The sequence below is a fragment of the Homo sapiens genome, chromosome 2 (assembly GCF_000001405.40).
Source record: "Homo sapiens chromosome 2, GRCh38.p14 Primary Assembly".
In the NCBI taxonomy this organism is placed as follows: Eukaryota; Metazoa; Chordata; class Mammalia; order Primates; family Hominidae; genus Homo; species Homo sapiens.
In genome coordinates, this window is record NC_000002.12 from 71,474,949 (window position 1) to 71,490,421 (window position 15,473).

A 15,473-nucleotide genomic window follows, 5' to 3' on the forward strand; every position below is an offset into this window, starting at 1 on the left:
GTGGACACGTAGCTTGCATCTCAGGCCCCCTCAGAACCCTGTGCAGCAGACACTTTTATTATGATCCACTGATTGCTGAGGAGCAAGGCCTAGAGGTTATGAGTCCTCCCTAAGGTCACATAGTAGTGGCTGTTAGTTGAGTGACTCCAAAGCGGTGTGTCTGACTCCTGCTGGAGCCACACCAATATGGGCCACACAGAATTCAAAGTGGTTCAGCCAGGACCCTTCCCCCACATGGCGCCTCCTTTCTTCCTCCCTCCGCTGACAAACAGCCACACCATGAATGAAGTCTTGGGGCGTTCCCTGGAAACAGCGCTTCTATCCTCTTGTGAGGAAGTCAACTTGCAGTCAACGTGGAAAGAAAAGGACCCATTCATTCAGCACCCGATTACTGGCCACCTCGCTATAGACTAGGGTTACAGTTAGTAATGTGAGTAAGGCATGGTGTTTGCCGCCAGAAACTCCCAGCCCAGTTGGGGGTTCAGAGCTAGAAGCACACTGCTACACGGCTGTCCTGCACATGTGGTCACAGCATGGTTAGGGAGCACCAAAGAGAGATCAGCTACCTCTTTTGGGAGAGTCAGGGGAGTCTTACCAGAGGAGAGACAACCGTGCTGGGTATTGAAGAGTCAGTAGGAGTTCACTAGATCCATCAGAGTGGGCACAGAGGGGAGGGCAGGGGAAGGAAACTCACATGTAATCAGCATACTATGTGCCAGGCACCTCAACGTTCTATCTCGGTAATTTTCACAGCAACCCCTTGTAAGGTAGATATTATGATGATGAAATTGAGGCAGAAATGTTAAATGAATTTCCTAAGAGATTATTTTATTTTTTAGAGACAGGGTCTTGCTCTGTTGCCCAGGCTGGAGTGCAGTGGTACGACCACAGCTCACTGCAGCCTCAAACTCCTGGGCTCAAGCAACCCTCCCACCTCAGCATCTCGAGTAGCTGGGACCGCAGGCACATGCACCACTACACCTGGCTAATTTTGTAAATTTTTTGTAGAGATGGAGCCCCACTATATTGCCCAGGTTAGTCTTGAACTCCTGTCCTCAGGCGATCCTCCCACCTCAGCCTCCCAAACTGCTGGGATTACAAGTGTGAGGACCTCACTGGCCCCTAAGAAGTTCTTAAAGTGTTGTACATGGAACTTGGGGGGATCCTCAAGACTCTTTGAGCAGGTCAGAAGGTCAAAACTCCTTCACAACAACACTAAGAGGCTATCTGCCTTTTTTACTGTTTGGACATTTGTACTGATGGTACAACAGCAATGGCAGCTAATACTACTGGCACCTGATCACTAATCGAGGCCTTGGCAGGCTGGGTGTGGTGGCTCACACCTGTAATCCCAGCATTTTGGAAGGCCGAGGTGGGCAGACCACCTGAGGTCAGGAATTTGAGGCCAGCCTGGCCAACATGGTCAGGCTAAAAATACAAAAATTAGCCAAGCTAGGTGGTAGGCACTTGTAGTCGCGGCTACTCGGGAGGCTGAGGCATGAGAATCGCTTGAACCTGGGAGGCAGGGGTTGCAGTGAGCCGAGATCACACCATCACACTCCAGCCTGAATGACTGGAGTGAGACTCCATCTCAAGAAAAAAAAAAAAAGGCCTTGGCACTAAATTGTGCTTCTTGTTGTGTTTTTTAGATTGCATGCACTCACAGTTAAAAATAAAAAGGCAGTTTCATTTAAGAGTGTCCTTGATGAAGCAGTAAAAGGATTAGTTTGAATCCTCCTGTACATGTGTTGAGAATGTTCTGTGTGATGAAATGGGAAGTATGCATAGTGCACCTCTGCTGCACATCACAAAATGATGATTGTCTCCAGGAAAAGCACTGGAGTCACTGCTTAAGTGACAAACCGAACTAGCTGCTTTTTTTTTTTTTTTCCATGGAATACTGTTTTTACTTTAAAGAATGACTGACAAAACTATAGTTATTTGACCTGGGCATTGGGCAGATATTTTCTTAAAAATGAAAGAGTGAGCCTGCCATTTCAAGGAAAATGGCTTGAAATACCACTTGCTGCCAATCAAAAAATTTGAGCTTTTCAAGCAGAAATTGGAGTTTTAGAAAACTTTGAGAAGTAACTTCCAGCTTCCCAGTACTGAAAGTGTTACTCCCCCAAAACTCTGGGATTTGTTCACATGGTGAATAACAAACGACGTTCCATGAGAATGCAGGTTTTGATCAATAGGAATTTTATTACTTGTCACAAGCAGGAGCACTGGGACAAAGCAGTGTCTCCCTGAGGGAAAGTGACAGGAGGGTTTTATGGGGCAATGGAGAGGGGAGAGGGTGCAACATCGCATGTAGAGGAGGGTTCCCGGTGGCACAGATGCTGTGAGTCATGGTGCCAGCACATAGGTTGCATGTTATGGTAATGAAGCTACAGGTCTCCTGGGGTGCAGGCTTTAGCATGGTCATGAGGAAAGTTCATTGGGGTTCATCTGTAAGTTGCCGGGCTCTGTCAGGAGCTGGTTTTAGCCCACTAGATGACCGCCTACTACACAGAGCTTGAAAAAAACAGGCTGTAAGACAGAAAGCTGTAAAGCAGGCAGATTGCTCAATCTCCCTACCTGCTTACAGAAGGCTGATGGTGACATTAATGTATGAGTGTAATTTTTTGGTAGGGCATTGTGAAATGTGTCAACATCTGGGAAGATCTACGTAACTGACTGAACAAAAATTTTCCAAATGACCAATGCAACTGTTACAGAATCATACGTGGGTGAAAGATTCATTCAAACTGCAAGATAGAACAATGAATTTTAATGTAGCAGAGTACAAAATGTTCATTGATCTGGTTTCAGATTTCACATTGCAACTTACTGTTAAGAAGTTAAGAACTACTACTTGTTGAGTTTTGATGTAGTATCAAAGAAGGATATTCACAGTTATCTGAAAGTGTATTAAAATAGGCCTCCCTTTCCAACTACATATCTGGTTGGATTTTCTTCATAGACATCAATCAAAATGAGGAGTCTCAGCAGTTTGAATGCTGAGGTATTAATAGATATGAGAATCCAGCCAAGCATTAAAGAGATTTGCAAAAATCTAAAAGTGTCACTTTTCCTTTTTTGGGAAGTTATAGTTTTTTTTTTTTTTTGCTATATATGTGTCACTTATGTTAATATTTATTGGGCTTATTGTGATTTTAAAATTACTAAATAATTATTTTTAAATGCTTCAGTTATAATTTCTAATGTAAAAATTCATAGATGCAGGCCACCTAAATAAAAGCTCTTTGGCATCCTCAATAATTTTTTTTTTTTTTTTTGAGGCAGAGTCTCACTCTGTCGCCCAGGCTGGAGTGCAGTGGTGCCATCTCGGCTCACTGCAAGCCCCGCCTCCTGGGTTCACGCCATTCTCCTGCCTCAGCCTCCCGAGCAGCTGGGACTACAGGTGCCAGCCACCATGCCCGGCTAATTTTTTGTATTTTTAGTAGAGATGGGGTTTCACCGTGTTAGCCAGGATGGTCTCAATCTCCTGGTCTCGTGATCCACCCACCTCAGCCTCCCAGAGTGCTGGGATTACAGGTGTGAGCCACCGCGCCCGGCCCAGGCATCCTCAATAATTTTTAAGAGTGACATCCTGTGACCAAAAAGTTTGAACTGCTGCCCCAAAGAATCACAGGAAATAAGTGTTTTATAGTGGCCTGTGATTTCAAATTTCATGATTTTTTCCATGATCAGTGATTCACAGTGGGAGAGGGAGTTTGGGAGCTCCCCCCTCTCCCTGGAGGGAGGTTTATCGGAATCTCTGCGGGACTCACTACAACGAGCAAATATTTACAAGATAATTCCCTTAGAATCTCCCTGAGCCCCTCCCTGCCTCCCTCCCTCCCTCAGATGGTCTTTTGCTCCCTCTCACGTGCTCTCTTTCTCTTTTTTTCTCTCTCCTCTTCTTCAAATCCTCCCTCACCCCTTGCCTGCCTCCTTGATCCCTCTCTGCTTCCCTCCTCCTCTTCTCCAGGCTCTGAACCTGGCAGGGCGGGGCCGACCCCACAGGAGGCTGCACCTCTCCAGGCTGGATGGACTCTGATGTGCTTGGCTCTAAAGCCTACTGGGGCTCCTGGGAGATGTGGCCAGAGGCTCGAGGGACTTTCGTGGTCCAGGCAGGACTCTCTGAAAGCTGAGCCATCCAGGTGGAGACCAAAGGCTTTCCACTGAGTCTTGCACAGGTTGGGTGGAATGAGGTGATCTTTAAGAGCCGACCCAAATAAAAGTTCTGTGTCAGGCTGAACCCTTTGAATTGTCTGTTGAGCGCCCCATCGTTTCTTTTCCTGATGCTTACTGGAAGTGCCCAGGGCACTGCAGAACAAAGCTTCATTAAATGCCTTCTCTTCTTCTTTGGGACCTTCAACACTCTTTTTCTGTGGATCAGTGTCTTCATGGAAGACGTGTCTCCAGACCTACTGGGCTTAGTGGGGGAACCCCTCACCCTGACCTGTCGGTCCACATGGTGGGCCGCCAAGCAGAGAGGGCCAAAGCTCTGTCCAAACTCCTTGTTTTGTGGATCATCCAGAGAGAGAAATGCACTTGCCAGCCCAGTAAAGGACCAGGGGCTGCAGCACCTGCCTGTTTCTCCCAGCCTACGGCTCTTCCATGGAAATGACCTTCCTGCCCACTGCTGTAGAACCTACCCTAGGAGGAGGGTCTCCTTGTGCGTCTCCTTTGCCACCTTTCTTTCAAGCCTCACCTGCCCACCTCACTGGGGACAGGCACTTGCCCCTTCATGCCCACTGCTCCAGAGGAAGGGCTTCTGCCGTGCATCGTCTGGGGCACAGTGGGTCAGCTCTCAGCCATCAAAGTGTTAGTTCTTCTTGTCCACCTCAGAGCCATTCTGCATTCCCTCAGCCAGCCCTCCCAGCCACATAGAGCTTCCTTGGGACAGCTTGCCTCAGATGGACTCCTTCAAGGCCTTGGAGGGTGAAGTGGATTTTGTTTAAATGGAAATAAAATTAACATATCATAAAATTCACCATTTGAACAATTTCCACATATATAATTTAATTGGTTTTAGGTTGCAATATTGTGCAACCATCATCATGATCTAATTCCAGAACATTTTTGTCACCTCAAGAAGAAACCCTATACCCATTAATCAATCACGTCCCCATTTCTATTTTCCCTTTCCCTTCTCTTAGCCCCTGGAAACAACTAATCTGCTTTCTGTCTCTACAGATTTGCCTATTCTGGACATTTCTTATAGATGGAATCATATAATTTCTGGAGATGGATGTTGTTCAAAAGAGGAATGAAATACTTTCTAGGGAGATTGTTCATTGTTAGAATTAGAAGGCTGGATGTGGTGGCTCACATTTGTAATCCCAGCACTTTGGGAGGCCAAGGTGGGAGGATCGCTTGAGGCCAGGAGTTCCAGACCCGTCTGGGCAATATAGTGAGGCCCCCGTCTACACACACACACACACGCACACACACACACATACACACCAGCTTGATCTAGTGGTGTGTGCCTGTGGTCCCAGCTACTCAAGAGCCTGAGGTGAGAGGATAGCTTGATCCCAGGAGTTTGAGGCTGCAGTGAGCTATGATCTCACCATCGCACTCCAGCCTGGGCAACAGAGTGAGATGCTGTCTCTAAAAAAAATAATACTACAATCAGAAAATTTATAATTAAAAAAATTATTTAAAAAGTCAGAAATAACAATAACAAACTCATTAAGGAGAGTCAGCCTGGGTACTTTCTTTTGAAAGCATGTTTCTGATGTCCCAGAGCTGAGAGGGGGAAGTTGTGTGATTGGCATTGGGGATTCATTGCAGACTGGCGGGTTCTCAGGGAATCTGTTGATTTTGTAAGATTTCCCTTGGCGACCAAGCTGAAGCACAGGTCTCAGAAGCTGAGCCTAACTCAGCGGAAGGTGAAAGGCGGGATGTGTCTCTCCATTCTCCCTTTTGTGTCTCTTGTAGGGGTGAAGAAGAGAACCAAAGTCATCAAGAACAGCGTGAACCCTGTATGGAATGAGGTATGTGAGTTTTTCTCCTTCCTTTTCTCTCTGTCTGCTGCAGTTGTGTCTGCAGGGACAAGTTAGGGGGCTTGTGGAGGAGGTGCCTTCTCAGCAGTGTCCTTGAGGTGGGGAGGGGCTGGTGGTCCAGCCTGCCAACGAAATCCTTCTTGCTCTAGGAACCTGGGAGGAGGGTTGGTGGCCTGGCCTACTAGGTAAATGGAGGGGAGCTAGATATTTTTTGTTTCTGTTTCCCCCCAGCTCTGGCCAGCCAGGTAAAGGGTGCTCAGGGACTCTCTTGCCTGCCTGTTTCTCTCACACAGGCTGTTCCTTTTTCCTTGCTCAAAGCTCACCTTCTCCCCACAGCCCTCCCTGATGAGGCAGGTCCTCCTCTGGCTCCTGCTAGCCCCTGTCCCCTCAACCAGCTCCCTGCATACATGGCTCCCGGGTGGTCCTTTGGAAGCCCTGCTGCCTTGCATGGATGGGGTCGGATGCACAGGGGAGCCTTTGCTCTGAGGAGGGTCATGGGGGCCTAGCCAACATGGCACTAACTCGTGCTGCCTACCAGGGCCTGGCGTCTGGATGAGCCCAATAATCTTGGTCCTTGAGGATGCTTCAGGGTCACCTGGCTTTTTCCCAGCCACACTCCTGGCTTGGCTTCCTGGGGATGGGTTGAAACTGAGTTGGGAGAGGGGCCTGTGAAAGACCTCTCTCCTCTCTTCTGCTGTCTTCAGCTCATACTGTCACCTCTGAATTTCTGGATCTGTGGTCTTCATCTATCCATCCATCCATCCATCCATCCATCCATCCATGCTTCCATCCATCCATTGATCCATCTGCCTATCCACTAGAATCATTCATGAATGCCTACTCAGTGCCCTGGTGGCACGAAGGTGAACCAGACACAGTCTCTTCTCCTAGAGGGCCATAGGTTAAGATGCCTTTTCTCTTTTTCTTCCAGGGATTTGAATGGGACCTCAAGGGCATCCCCCTGGACCAGGGCTCTGAGCTTCATGTGGTGGTCAAAGACCATGAGACGATGGGGAGGAACAGGTAAGGTGGCCAGAGGGGGGTGCTCCATGGCTTGAAGGTGCAGGTAGGATTGTGGAGTATACAGACTGCAGAATCCCAGGCCCCAGGGAGCTGGGGTTTCAATTAGCATTTATCCACCTCCTCCCATGGGACTGGCCCAGTGATAGATGTTGGGAGAATCTGGCTGTGGCTTCAGGAACTCAGCCATGGGTACAGCTGAGCTTCCAGGCTACAGGGGAGGGAAGATGGGCTGGAATCAGGTGTCCACGCATTTGCACAGACAGTGTGTGCCCCAGGGAGCAGGAAGACTCGCTTCCTGCTGCTCCAGCCCAGAGGCTCCCTGAGGTGGGCTCTCTTTCCCGGCCCAGCCCAGGCCAGTGAGGGCAGAGGCCCCCTGCAGGAGGCAGGCAGGCAGGCAAAGTGAAACTGTAGCTAGCAGGGAGCTTTCCAGGAATGCTTCATGGAAGGGGTAGGACTAGAGGTTAAGATTCGTGGTTTAGAAATCAGAACAGTAAAAATGAGTAGCCCGGCCTGGGCGCTTCCCTGTGTTGGGGTTTCTGCTGAGTTTTTCATGTACCTAGTGGTGGGTTTCTTGGTGGGGGGATCAAAGTTGTGGTGGCAAAAGCAGGCTCCCCCTAGGCAGGCGATGAATCCCTTCTCTTGCCATTGAGCCCCTGGGCCTTGTAAACGGAGGTGGTGGGGTGGACAAGTTCAACCCAACCTGCAGATGGGTGGGTCTTGGACTGGGGCTGTGGGTGGACTGGGAGACATAGCACATGAAACTGCTCATGATGAGCCTTAAGCATCAGAGTGGGAGTCCGGTTGTCCCTGCTGGGCATGAGAGGAGGCAGCTGCGTTAGATGCCAGCAGGAGTGGGTTCGTGCTTCAAGTGCCATTTACGGAGGTCTAGGCCCAAGCATCAGGGATGGGCTTGCTGTTTTGTGACCTGCTCACAGGGGAGCCTTTGTTTGGGAACTGGGTCAGTGGTGTCTGAGGCCTGAAAGCCTGGCTGTGTTGCCCTGGGGTGGGGCAGAAGGGGTTGGGGAGGATGAGAATTCAGGAACCTAGGGAAGGGCAATCAGGGTCTCCGGCTGCAAAACACCTGGAAAATTTGAAATGTTAAAAACTCAGAAAAAAACCCAATTGCCACCTTCTCTCTGTGGCTGTGCTGGCCATGGGTGCATGGTGTGGGGAGGGTGGGGCACTTTCACTGGGCCCCCAAAAGTGTGGCTGCAAGGTGTGGGGCCCAGGCCTGTGGGCCAGGGCATCTTGGGCCCGTCTCTTCCAGCTGTTGACCTCAGACATCTCCACCTGCACGGGGGACAGGGATTGGAATCATTTCAGCTACCTTCCAACGCAGACACTGTGGAAGGCAAGGCAGCCGCTAACAAGCATGAATGGTGGACCCGCAGATCAGGGAGGGAGCAGCCCTGGACAGTGGGCAGTCCTCGAAGGCTTCCTGGAGGAGGGTCACTCAGACTGACTTGAAGGCAGGGGTAGGCTTTGAAAAGGCCAGAAGGGGAGGGTATTCCAGCGTGTGGATGTGGCGGGCAGCCAGGCTCAGGTCTCACAGGTGGGACTCAGTCTCACGACACGTGCGGCCCTGTGAGAAGTGGGTGGTGGGGAAGAATTGAGAGGGGGGTCTCCAATGCCAGGCTGAGGAGAATAGCAGCAAAGTCACACAACTGCCACACAGCTGAGTGTCTGGCCGCATGCTGTCTTATATACAAGACCTTTTCCCATCAGTTAGGCACGACTATTGTAACTGTCACCGTTACAGATGGGGAAACTGAGGCTCTGAGAGATTGGGCAACTTTCTTGAAGGCTAGTGATGGCAGAGCTGTGATTGGAAGGCAGGTTTTTGGGACATGCTCATAGTCACTGAGCCCCATGTGCCTCTCGGAGGCTCCTGGAAGCCCCAGGATGGTGTTGGTCTCTTCTGGAGAGTTCAGTTCCCTCTGACAATGCCGGCGTTGACAGAGTTTAGAGGGGCAGAGGCAGGACAGTCTGGTTACTGCAGGTCATGCAGCAGAAGCACATGTTTCATTTTCATTATCTTATTCAGCATTTTTACAGGCTCTGTGGGGAGATTTCCCTTTTTTTTTTTTTTTTTTTTTTTTTGAGACGAAGTCTTGCTCTGTGGCCCAGGCTGGAGTGCAGTGGTGCGATCTCTGCTCACTGCAACCTCCACCTCCCAGGTTCAAGCGATTCTCCTGCCTCAGCCTCCCTACTAGCTGGGATTACAGGTGCCCACCACCACACCTGGCTAATTTTTGTATTTTTAGTAGAGACAGGGTTCCTCCATGTTGGCCAGAGCAGTCTTGAACTCCTGACCTCAGGTGATCCTCCTGGCTCAGCCTCTCAAAGTGCTGAGATTACAGGCATGAGCCACCATGCCTGGCCAGAGATTTCCTTTAAAAATTTTTAAAATCATTATGGGTAGATAATAGTTGTATATATCTATGGGGTGCACGTGATGTTCTGACACAGGCATAATGTATAACAATCAAGTCAGAGTAACTGGAGTATCCATCACCACAGACATTTATCATTTCTTGTGTTAGCAACATTTCAATTCTACTCTTTTAGTTGTTTTAAAATATACAATAGATTATTGTTGGCTGTAGTCACCCTATTGTGCTAGGGAATACTAGACTCATTCATTCCATCTAACTGTGTTTTTGTATCCATTGACCACCTTGCTTTATCCACCTCTCCCTGCTACCCTTCCCTGCCTCTGGATTCTACTCTATCTCCGGAAGTTCAATTTTTTAAAAATTAGTTCTCTGTAGGGAGATTTCTAAGACCACAGAGGCAAAATGAGAGCTGTGAACATATTTTTGGCCAATTCAAGGACCAGGCTAGCCCTCAGGGTAACGGTAAGTGAGGGCCACACGCAGGCTGTTCTGGCTCTGTGGAGCAGAGGTCATATGGGGAACGGGAAGCTTCGAACCTTGGGGTCCTCCCATTGGCCCCTGTGGGTGTTCTCTAGCTCCTGGGGGCAGCTAGCTCCCTAAAAACCAGTGCCCCATGTGAGCAGTTCACTGCAGGGCTGTGTGCCAGAAATCAGGTCCTCAAAGATCAGTTTATGGGACAGCCAATTCACCAACCTCACCCGTTTACCAGAAACACCTTTCTTATAACATTTAAATGTAATTTTTGATTTTTCCAAACATTTATCTCAGTTTCAGATTTCTAGCAATTAAAACTTGTCTTAATTAAACTAGATTGAAATGTGCACGTACATTCATAAATACTTGAGGACTCTCAGAATATGCCAAAGCAACACTGTCATGAGAAGAAATGATAGAATTTTGGCTCCATGGCTGGGCATTGTGGCTCATACCTGTAATCCCAGCACTTTGGGAGGCCGAGGGCAGCAGATCACATGAGGTCAGGAGTTCGAGACCAGCCTGGCCAAGATGGTGAAACCCCGTCACTACTCAAAATACAAAAATTCGCTGGGCGTGGTGGCGGGCACCTGTAATCCCAGCTACTCAGGAGGCTGAGACAGGAGAATCGCTTGAACCCGGGAAGCAGAGGTTGCAGTGAGCCAAGATCACTGGCTTTGTGCCAGGAGAACATGGGATGTGTGGCCTCCTCAGCTGTTTTCAGGCAGGTGCGATGCCTCAGGGGAGGGAGCACAGGTACCTGCAAGGTAATTCTGTCACCCCACCCCATGACCAGATGGCAAAGTACTTCCACCCTACACATGGATGTGAGAAAACAACCAAAGACAAGCAGCAATACAAATTCCAAAAGTGTAAAAAGAAAACCATACCAGGGAGTAACAAGAATGAACGCATGACATTTTAAATTTTGAAAGAAAAGGAAAAAACTTCAGGGAATCCAGTTCAATGAGCATTTTATGTATTTATTTTTGAGATGGAGTCTTGCTCTGTTGCCCAGGCTGCAGTGCAGTGGTACGTTCTTGGCTCACTGCAACCTCCGCCTCCTGGGTTCAAGTGATTCTCCCATCTCGGCCTCCCAAAATGCTGGGATTACAAGCGTGAGCCACCGCGCCCAGCCCTTCAATGAGCATTTTAAATTGAAGACCTCCTCACTGCCCTCCAGTCCTGCCTGTTGGGTCAGGAAGCAAACAGGGACTCAAGGGTTAGGTGGCTGTGCCTTGCAACTGTCCTCAGGCCTCTCCAGTTGGTGGGTTCCAGTGAGGGTCCCCGGAGTCATCATGCAGCCACCCGTTTTGTTTGTGGGAATCCTGGGCGTGTCTTCTGTGAGCTCCCCCGCTGTCCAACCTCATCCTCTTCCAAGTGAGGGGATCACAGCCCTCTGCATCTGTTAACCCTCTCAGTCCCCCTCCACCTTGCCTCCCCTCCCTCTTCCCCACCTCCACCCTCTGGCTCTCTCTGCTTCTAGATTTCCCCTCAGGCCTCCCTCATTCTTTACAGCCTGTCACTCTGTCTCTGTGTCTCCTGCTTTGCTTCTTTTCCTTCCTGTGCCCCTCCTTTTATTCTTTCTCTCCTCCTTCTCTTGCCCCTCCTCGATCCTCACCATCCTCACCGCCACTGTCCTCTCTTTCCTATGGCTCCTGGGGCATTTGGCATTTCTGGGTTTTCCCTGATGATCACTGGCAGTTTAGGGTGATCTTGTTAAACCAGAGTGGTCTGCTGGCCCAGAGTGGGATCTGGGGAATCCTTTCATGCCTCAGGAAGGAAATCTCCATCTGGGAACTGTCTCTGGGCTGCTCAGCATGCCATTAACCCATGAGAGGGGCAGCCCTAAGCCCGAGGACCCCTGAGCCAACTTCAGGGATGGATCGACTTTATCTGGCTAAAATCAGGTTTCCAATGCACATAAAAGGAAGCTCCACTCCTTAGGGTGGAAGACACTCAGGCAAACCTAGCGGGTGGTCCTGGGATCCTGTTCCAGGCTGCACTGGACAATTTCCTGTTTACTCGAGGCTTCTCAGAGAGAAGCTGAAGGGGAGATGATCCAGGTCCCTGACCAGCTGTTTTGACCCGTGGGATGTTCAGCCCAGAAGTTCCCAATTCAGGCCACACAATAGAATCACCTGGGCAGCTTTTACACCCACTCATGCCTGAGCCTTGGCTGAGGTTCTGATTTCGTTGGTTTGGGGCAAGGTCTGTGCAGCATCACCTACTCTCCAGGTGCTGGTGTTTTCATTGCGCAGCCTGGGCTGAGAGCCACTGATCTGGACTCTAGACCAGCACTGCCCACTAGAACTTTCTGAGATGATGGAAATGTTGTCTTTGTGTTGACTAGTGTGCCTGAGAAATTGAATCTTAAATTGTATTTAATTTTAATGACTTAGATTTAATTAATTCCACGTGGCTAGTGGCTACTGTGTTGGACAGAGCAGCTTTAGATTTTTGGAACAGTGTTTCCAACCTGGCTGCATCTAGAAATGACCTGGGAGCTTAAAAAAAAAATAAGTGTCTGAGCTCCGCACTAAGCTGATTAAACAAGAACCTCTGGAGTGGGCTGCAGGAGTCAGCACTTTTGGAAACCACCCAGGATGGCAGGGGGGCAGTGTGCCCGCAGGGTAGAGAACTCACTGTGTTAGAGAGATGCTGGCATTTTGTTGTTGTTGTTGTTTAGGCAGAGTCTCGCTCTGTCGCCCAGGAAGGAATGCAGTGGCATGATCTCGGCTCACTGCAACCTCTGCCTCACAGGTTCAAGCGATTCTCCTGTCTCAGCCTCCCGAGTAGCTGGGATTACAGGTGCCCACCATCTCACCTGGCTAGTTTTTGTGTTTTTAGTAGAGACAGGGTTTCACCCTGTTGGTCAGGCTGGTCTTGAACTCCTGACCTCAGGTGATCTACCTGCCTTGGCTTCCCAAAGTGCTGGGATTACAGGTGTGAGCCACTGTGCCTGGTCTGATGCTGGCACTTCTGAAAGGAATTGCTCTCAATTTTTCCATGGATTAGCTAAGAAATAAATAGAAATGGTCATTCTTGTAATTGTTTATGTATGTGATTATTGGCAAAATAATCACCATCAAGTAATAATGGCTGAAACTGCACATGGTAAAATTGTTACAGAACTGAAAAACAGATGGAAGAATCCTGTTGGTAACTGCAAACACTGACTTGGGAAGTTGGACTTAGTGGAAATAATTCCACAAAAGAAAACTCAAAATGGCAAGGAGCAATATTTGATAAAACTTAATGTCAACCAAAAAAAAAAATTAAAAATCTGTGAGCCAAATCTGTGTTGGGAAATTTAAGCAGGGATTAATTGTCCCCAATGAAAAGAATTTTGGTAAAATGAAAATAAAGATGGTAAAAGAGAAAAAGAAAACAGTTTAATTGCTCTGTATGCAAAACATATCAACACATTAAACTGGCTTCATTTAATTTGTTCTGGAAAAATGCCTTCTCAGTGGAAATTAATTACTGTAGGTGTTTTTTATATTTAAATGTTTGGTAAATATAAACATGGAAGCAAAAATCTCCATGGGGTCAAAACATCCACCTGGCAAAGCACCATGGTCAAAATGATGCTCACCTTGACTGCAGTGATTCACTAACCCCAGGCCTAACCGGTCCCCAAGACAGGGGGCCCAGATGCAACAAGGAAGCATACAGAACAACCTGTTAAATGAGGAGGTCTCAAATACCACAGGCGACACCTTATATTAAGGCATTAATCATCGTTTCTCTGAGATACAGACTTGAGTGGGCTCCCTGTGTTTTTCCTGGTCACTCTACCCTCCAGCCTGACCGTGTCCCCAGCCTCTCTGCTTTAATCAAGTGTTATAGGAGGAGGTCTAGTCAGGATTGCCTTTAAAGACGCTCTCTTAGGTGTTCACAGTGGCATTTTCTTTGGAATAGTGTGATCTACTCTGTATCTTTTAGCGACCTGGTGACTCTGTAAAGTGGGCACTGAGGGGCCTCTCACCTGCACTCAGATGCCTTTCTGCCTTCACCCTTCCCCATGGTCTGAGCATCAGTCATGGTGCCTGCAACTGGAGGGGACCCAGGAGACAACCTGAGAACTTTCCTGAGCCCCAATGCTCCTTCTCCTCCTTCCTCCTTCAGCTGCTCCTCCTCCCACCCCCACATTGAGCTGGATGATCTGCCCCAGTGGAATAAGCGTGGACTTTGAGAAGAGCCAGGGTCTAGCTGCAACACTCTGTGGCCTTGGGCAGATCACTACACTCCCTGAACCTTGCTTTCTTCCATTCTTAGGGAGTATCAAATCAAGGGACCTGCCACAACGGGGGTCTCCCTAAATGTTAGTTCTGCACTGCTGCCTTGCTCTTGTTCCCCCGTGCTTCCTTCTGCTGCCCCCACCACTCAAAGTCCCACTGACCCAGCCCTCTCCCACCAAAGGCTGCTCTTAGCCAGCTGTGGGTTGAAAAAGCACCAAATCATATGAATGCATAGGTGGCAGCCTATGGCTTCATGTTTCACTCTATTTTAGGAATCGGCGGGATGCTGCTTTATAGCTCAGACTCTGCTTAGAAAAGAGAGAAGTGTTAATGGTAGGTGTCCAGCCACTGCAGTAGATTATGAGGAGATATTTTAGGAATGGTGTATCTTCTTCCTGACATAGGGCCATCTCTGAGCCTGGCCTTGGTGCCATCTGGGCGGAGGCAAGGGTGGCCTGATGCCTCCTATGTCAATGAGTTTCATTTGTTGAGGGAATGTGGAGGTTTCCAGGAAGGGGCTGAACATGCTCTTAGTTCTTCAGGGTAGCCATGCATGGGAGACGACAGAGGCGCCTGGGGAGGGGGCCTGGCCAGTTGAGGCCTGTCTCCCACACCTGGAGTATGCTGGTGGGATTGAGGGGCTCTGTACTGGGAGGGGCAGGTATTCTAATTCTCAGGCTGTCCATCAGAGCTTGCAGGGCAGGGGTGGTGGAATGAGAATGAGGGTCAGGGGCTTTGCTCAGGGACCCCACTGTCAGCAGAGTTCTATCCTGGCACTGTCTGTAACCTGGACCTCTCTGAAACCGTTTCCTCATCAGGACAATGGCAAAAGCAGTCCCTATGTTGCCAGGTTGCTGTGAAATTTAAATAATATAATGCATGTGTGTCAAATGCCTGCTCAGTGCTTGGAATACTGAAGGTGCAATATATGGGGGCTGTTGGGAGCAGGATCCATATAGATGCACTTACGTAAACCACACAAACATGTGAACACTATGTGCATGGCCCGTATGGACACCCGGCTGTACCTGAGTGTGCACTAGCATTGCATAATATGTGCACATGCATTTTTTTAAATTTAAAACAACCAAAAAATTTCACGGAAGTATAAAAAAACCTAAGTAATTTTTATAAGTATAAAAGTGCATTTCATTCTCAAAAAGTTATAAAGGAAAAAGTACAAGTTCTCCCATCTTCTACCCATGAATTTCTTCTCTTTTCTCCAGAGGTGCCCATTGTTAACGATTTGGTGCGTATCTTTCTTTCTTTTTTGAGACAGAGTTTCGCTCTCGTTGCCCAGGCTGGAGTGCAATGGCACGATCTCAGCTCACTGCAAC

At 48.6% G+C, this 15,473-nt stretch overlaps 1 protein-coding gene across 14 annotated transcripts in view; it reads left to right on the forward strand.

Moving 5' to 3' along the window:
• Window positions 1–15,473, forward strand: part of DYSF (dysferlin) — a 233,203-nt gene that overhangs the window by 21,388 nt on the left and 196,342 nt on the right. For all 14 annotated transcript variants that reach the window (NM_001130979.2, NM_001130981.2, NM_001130980.2 and 11 more), the window contains exons 2-3: window positions 5,935–5,990; window positions 6,931–7,022. In NM_001130979.2, coding sequence (NP_001124451.1) covers window positions 5,935–5,990; window positions 6,931–7,022 — 148 coding nt within the window. The remainder of the gene's footprint in view (window positions 1–5,934; window positions 5,991–6,930; window positions 7,023–15,473) is intronic.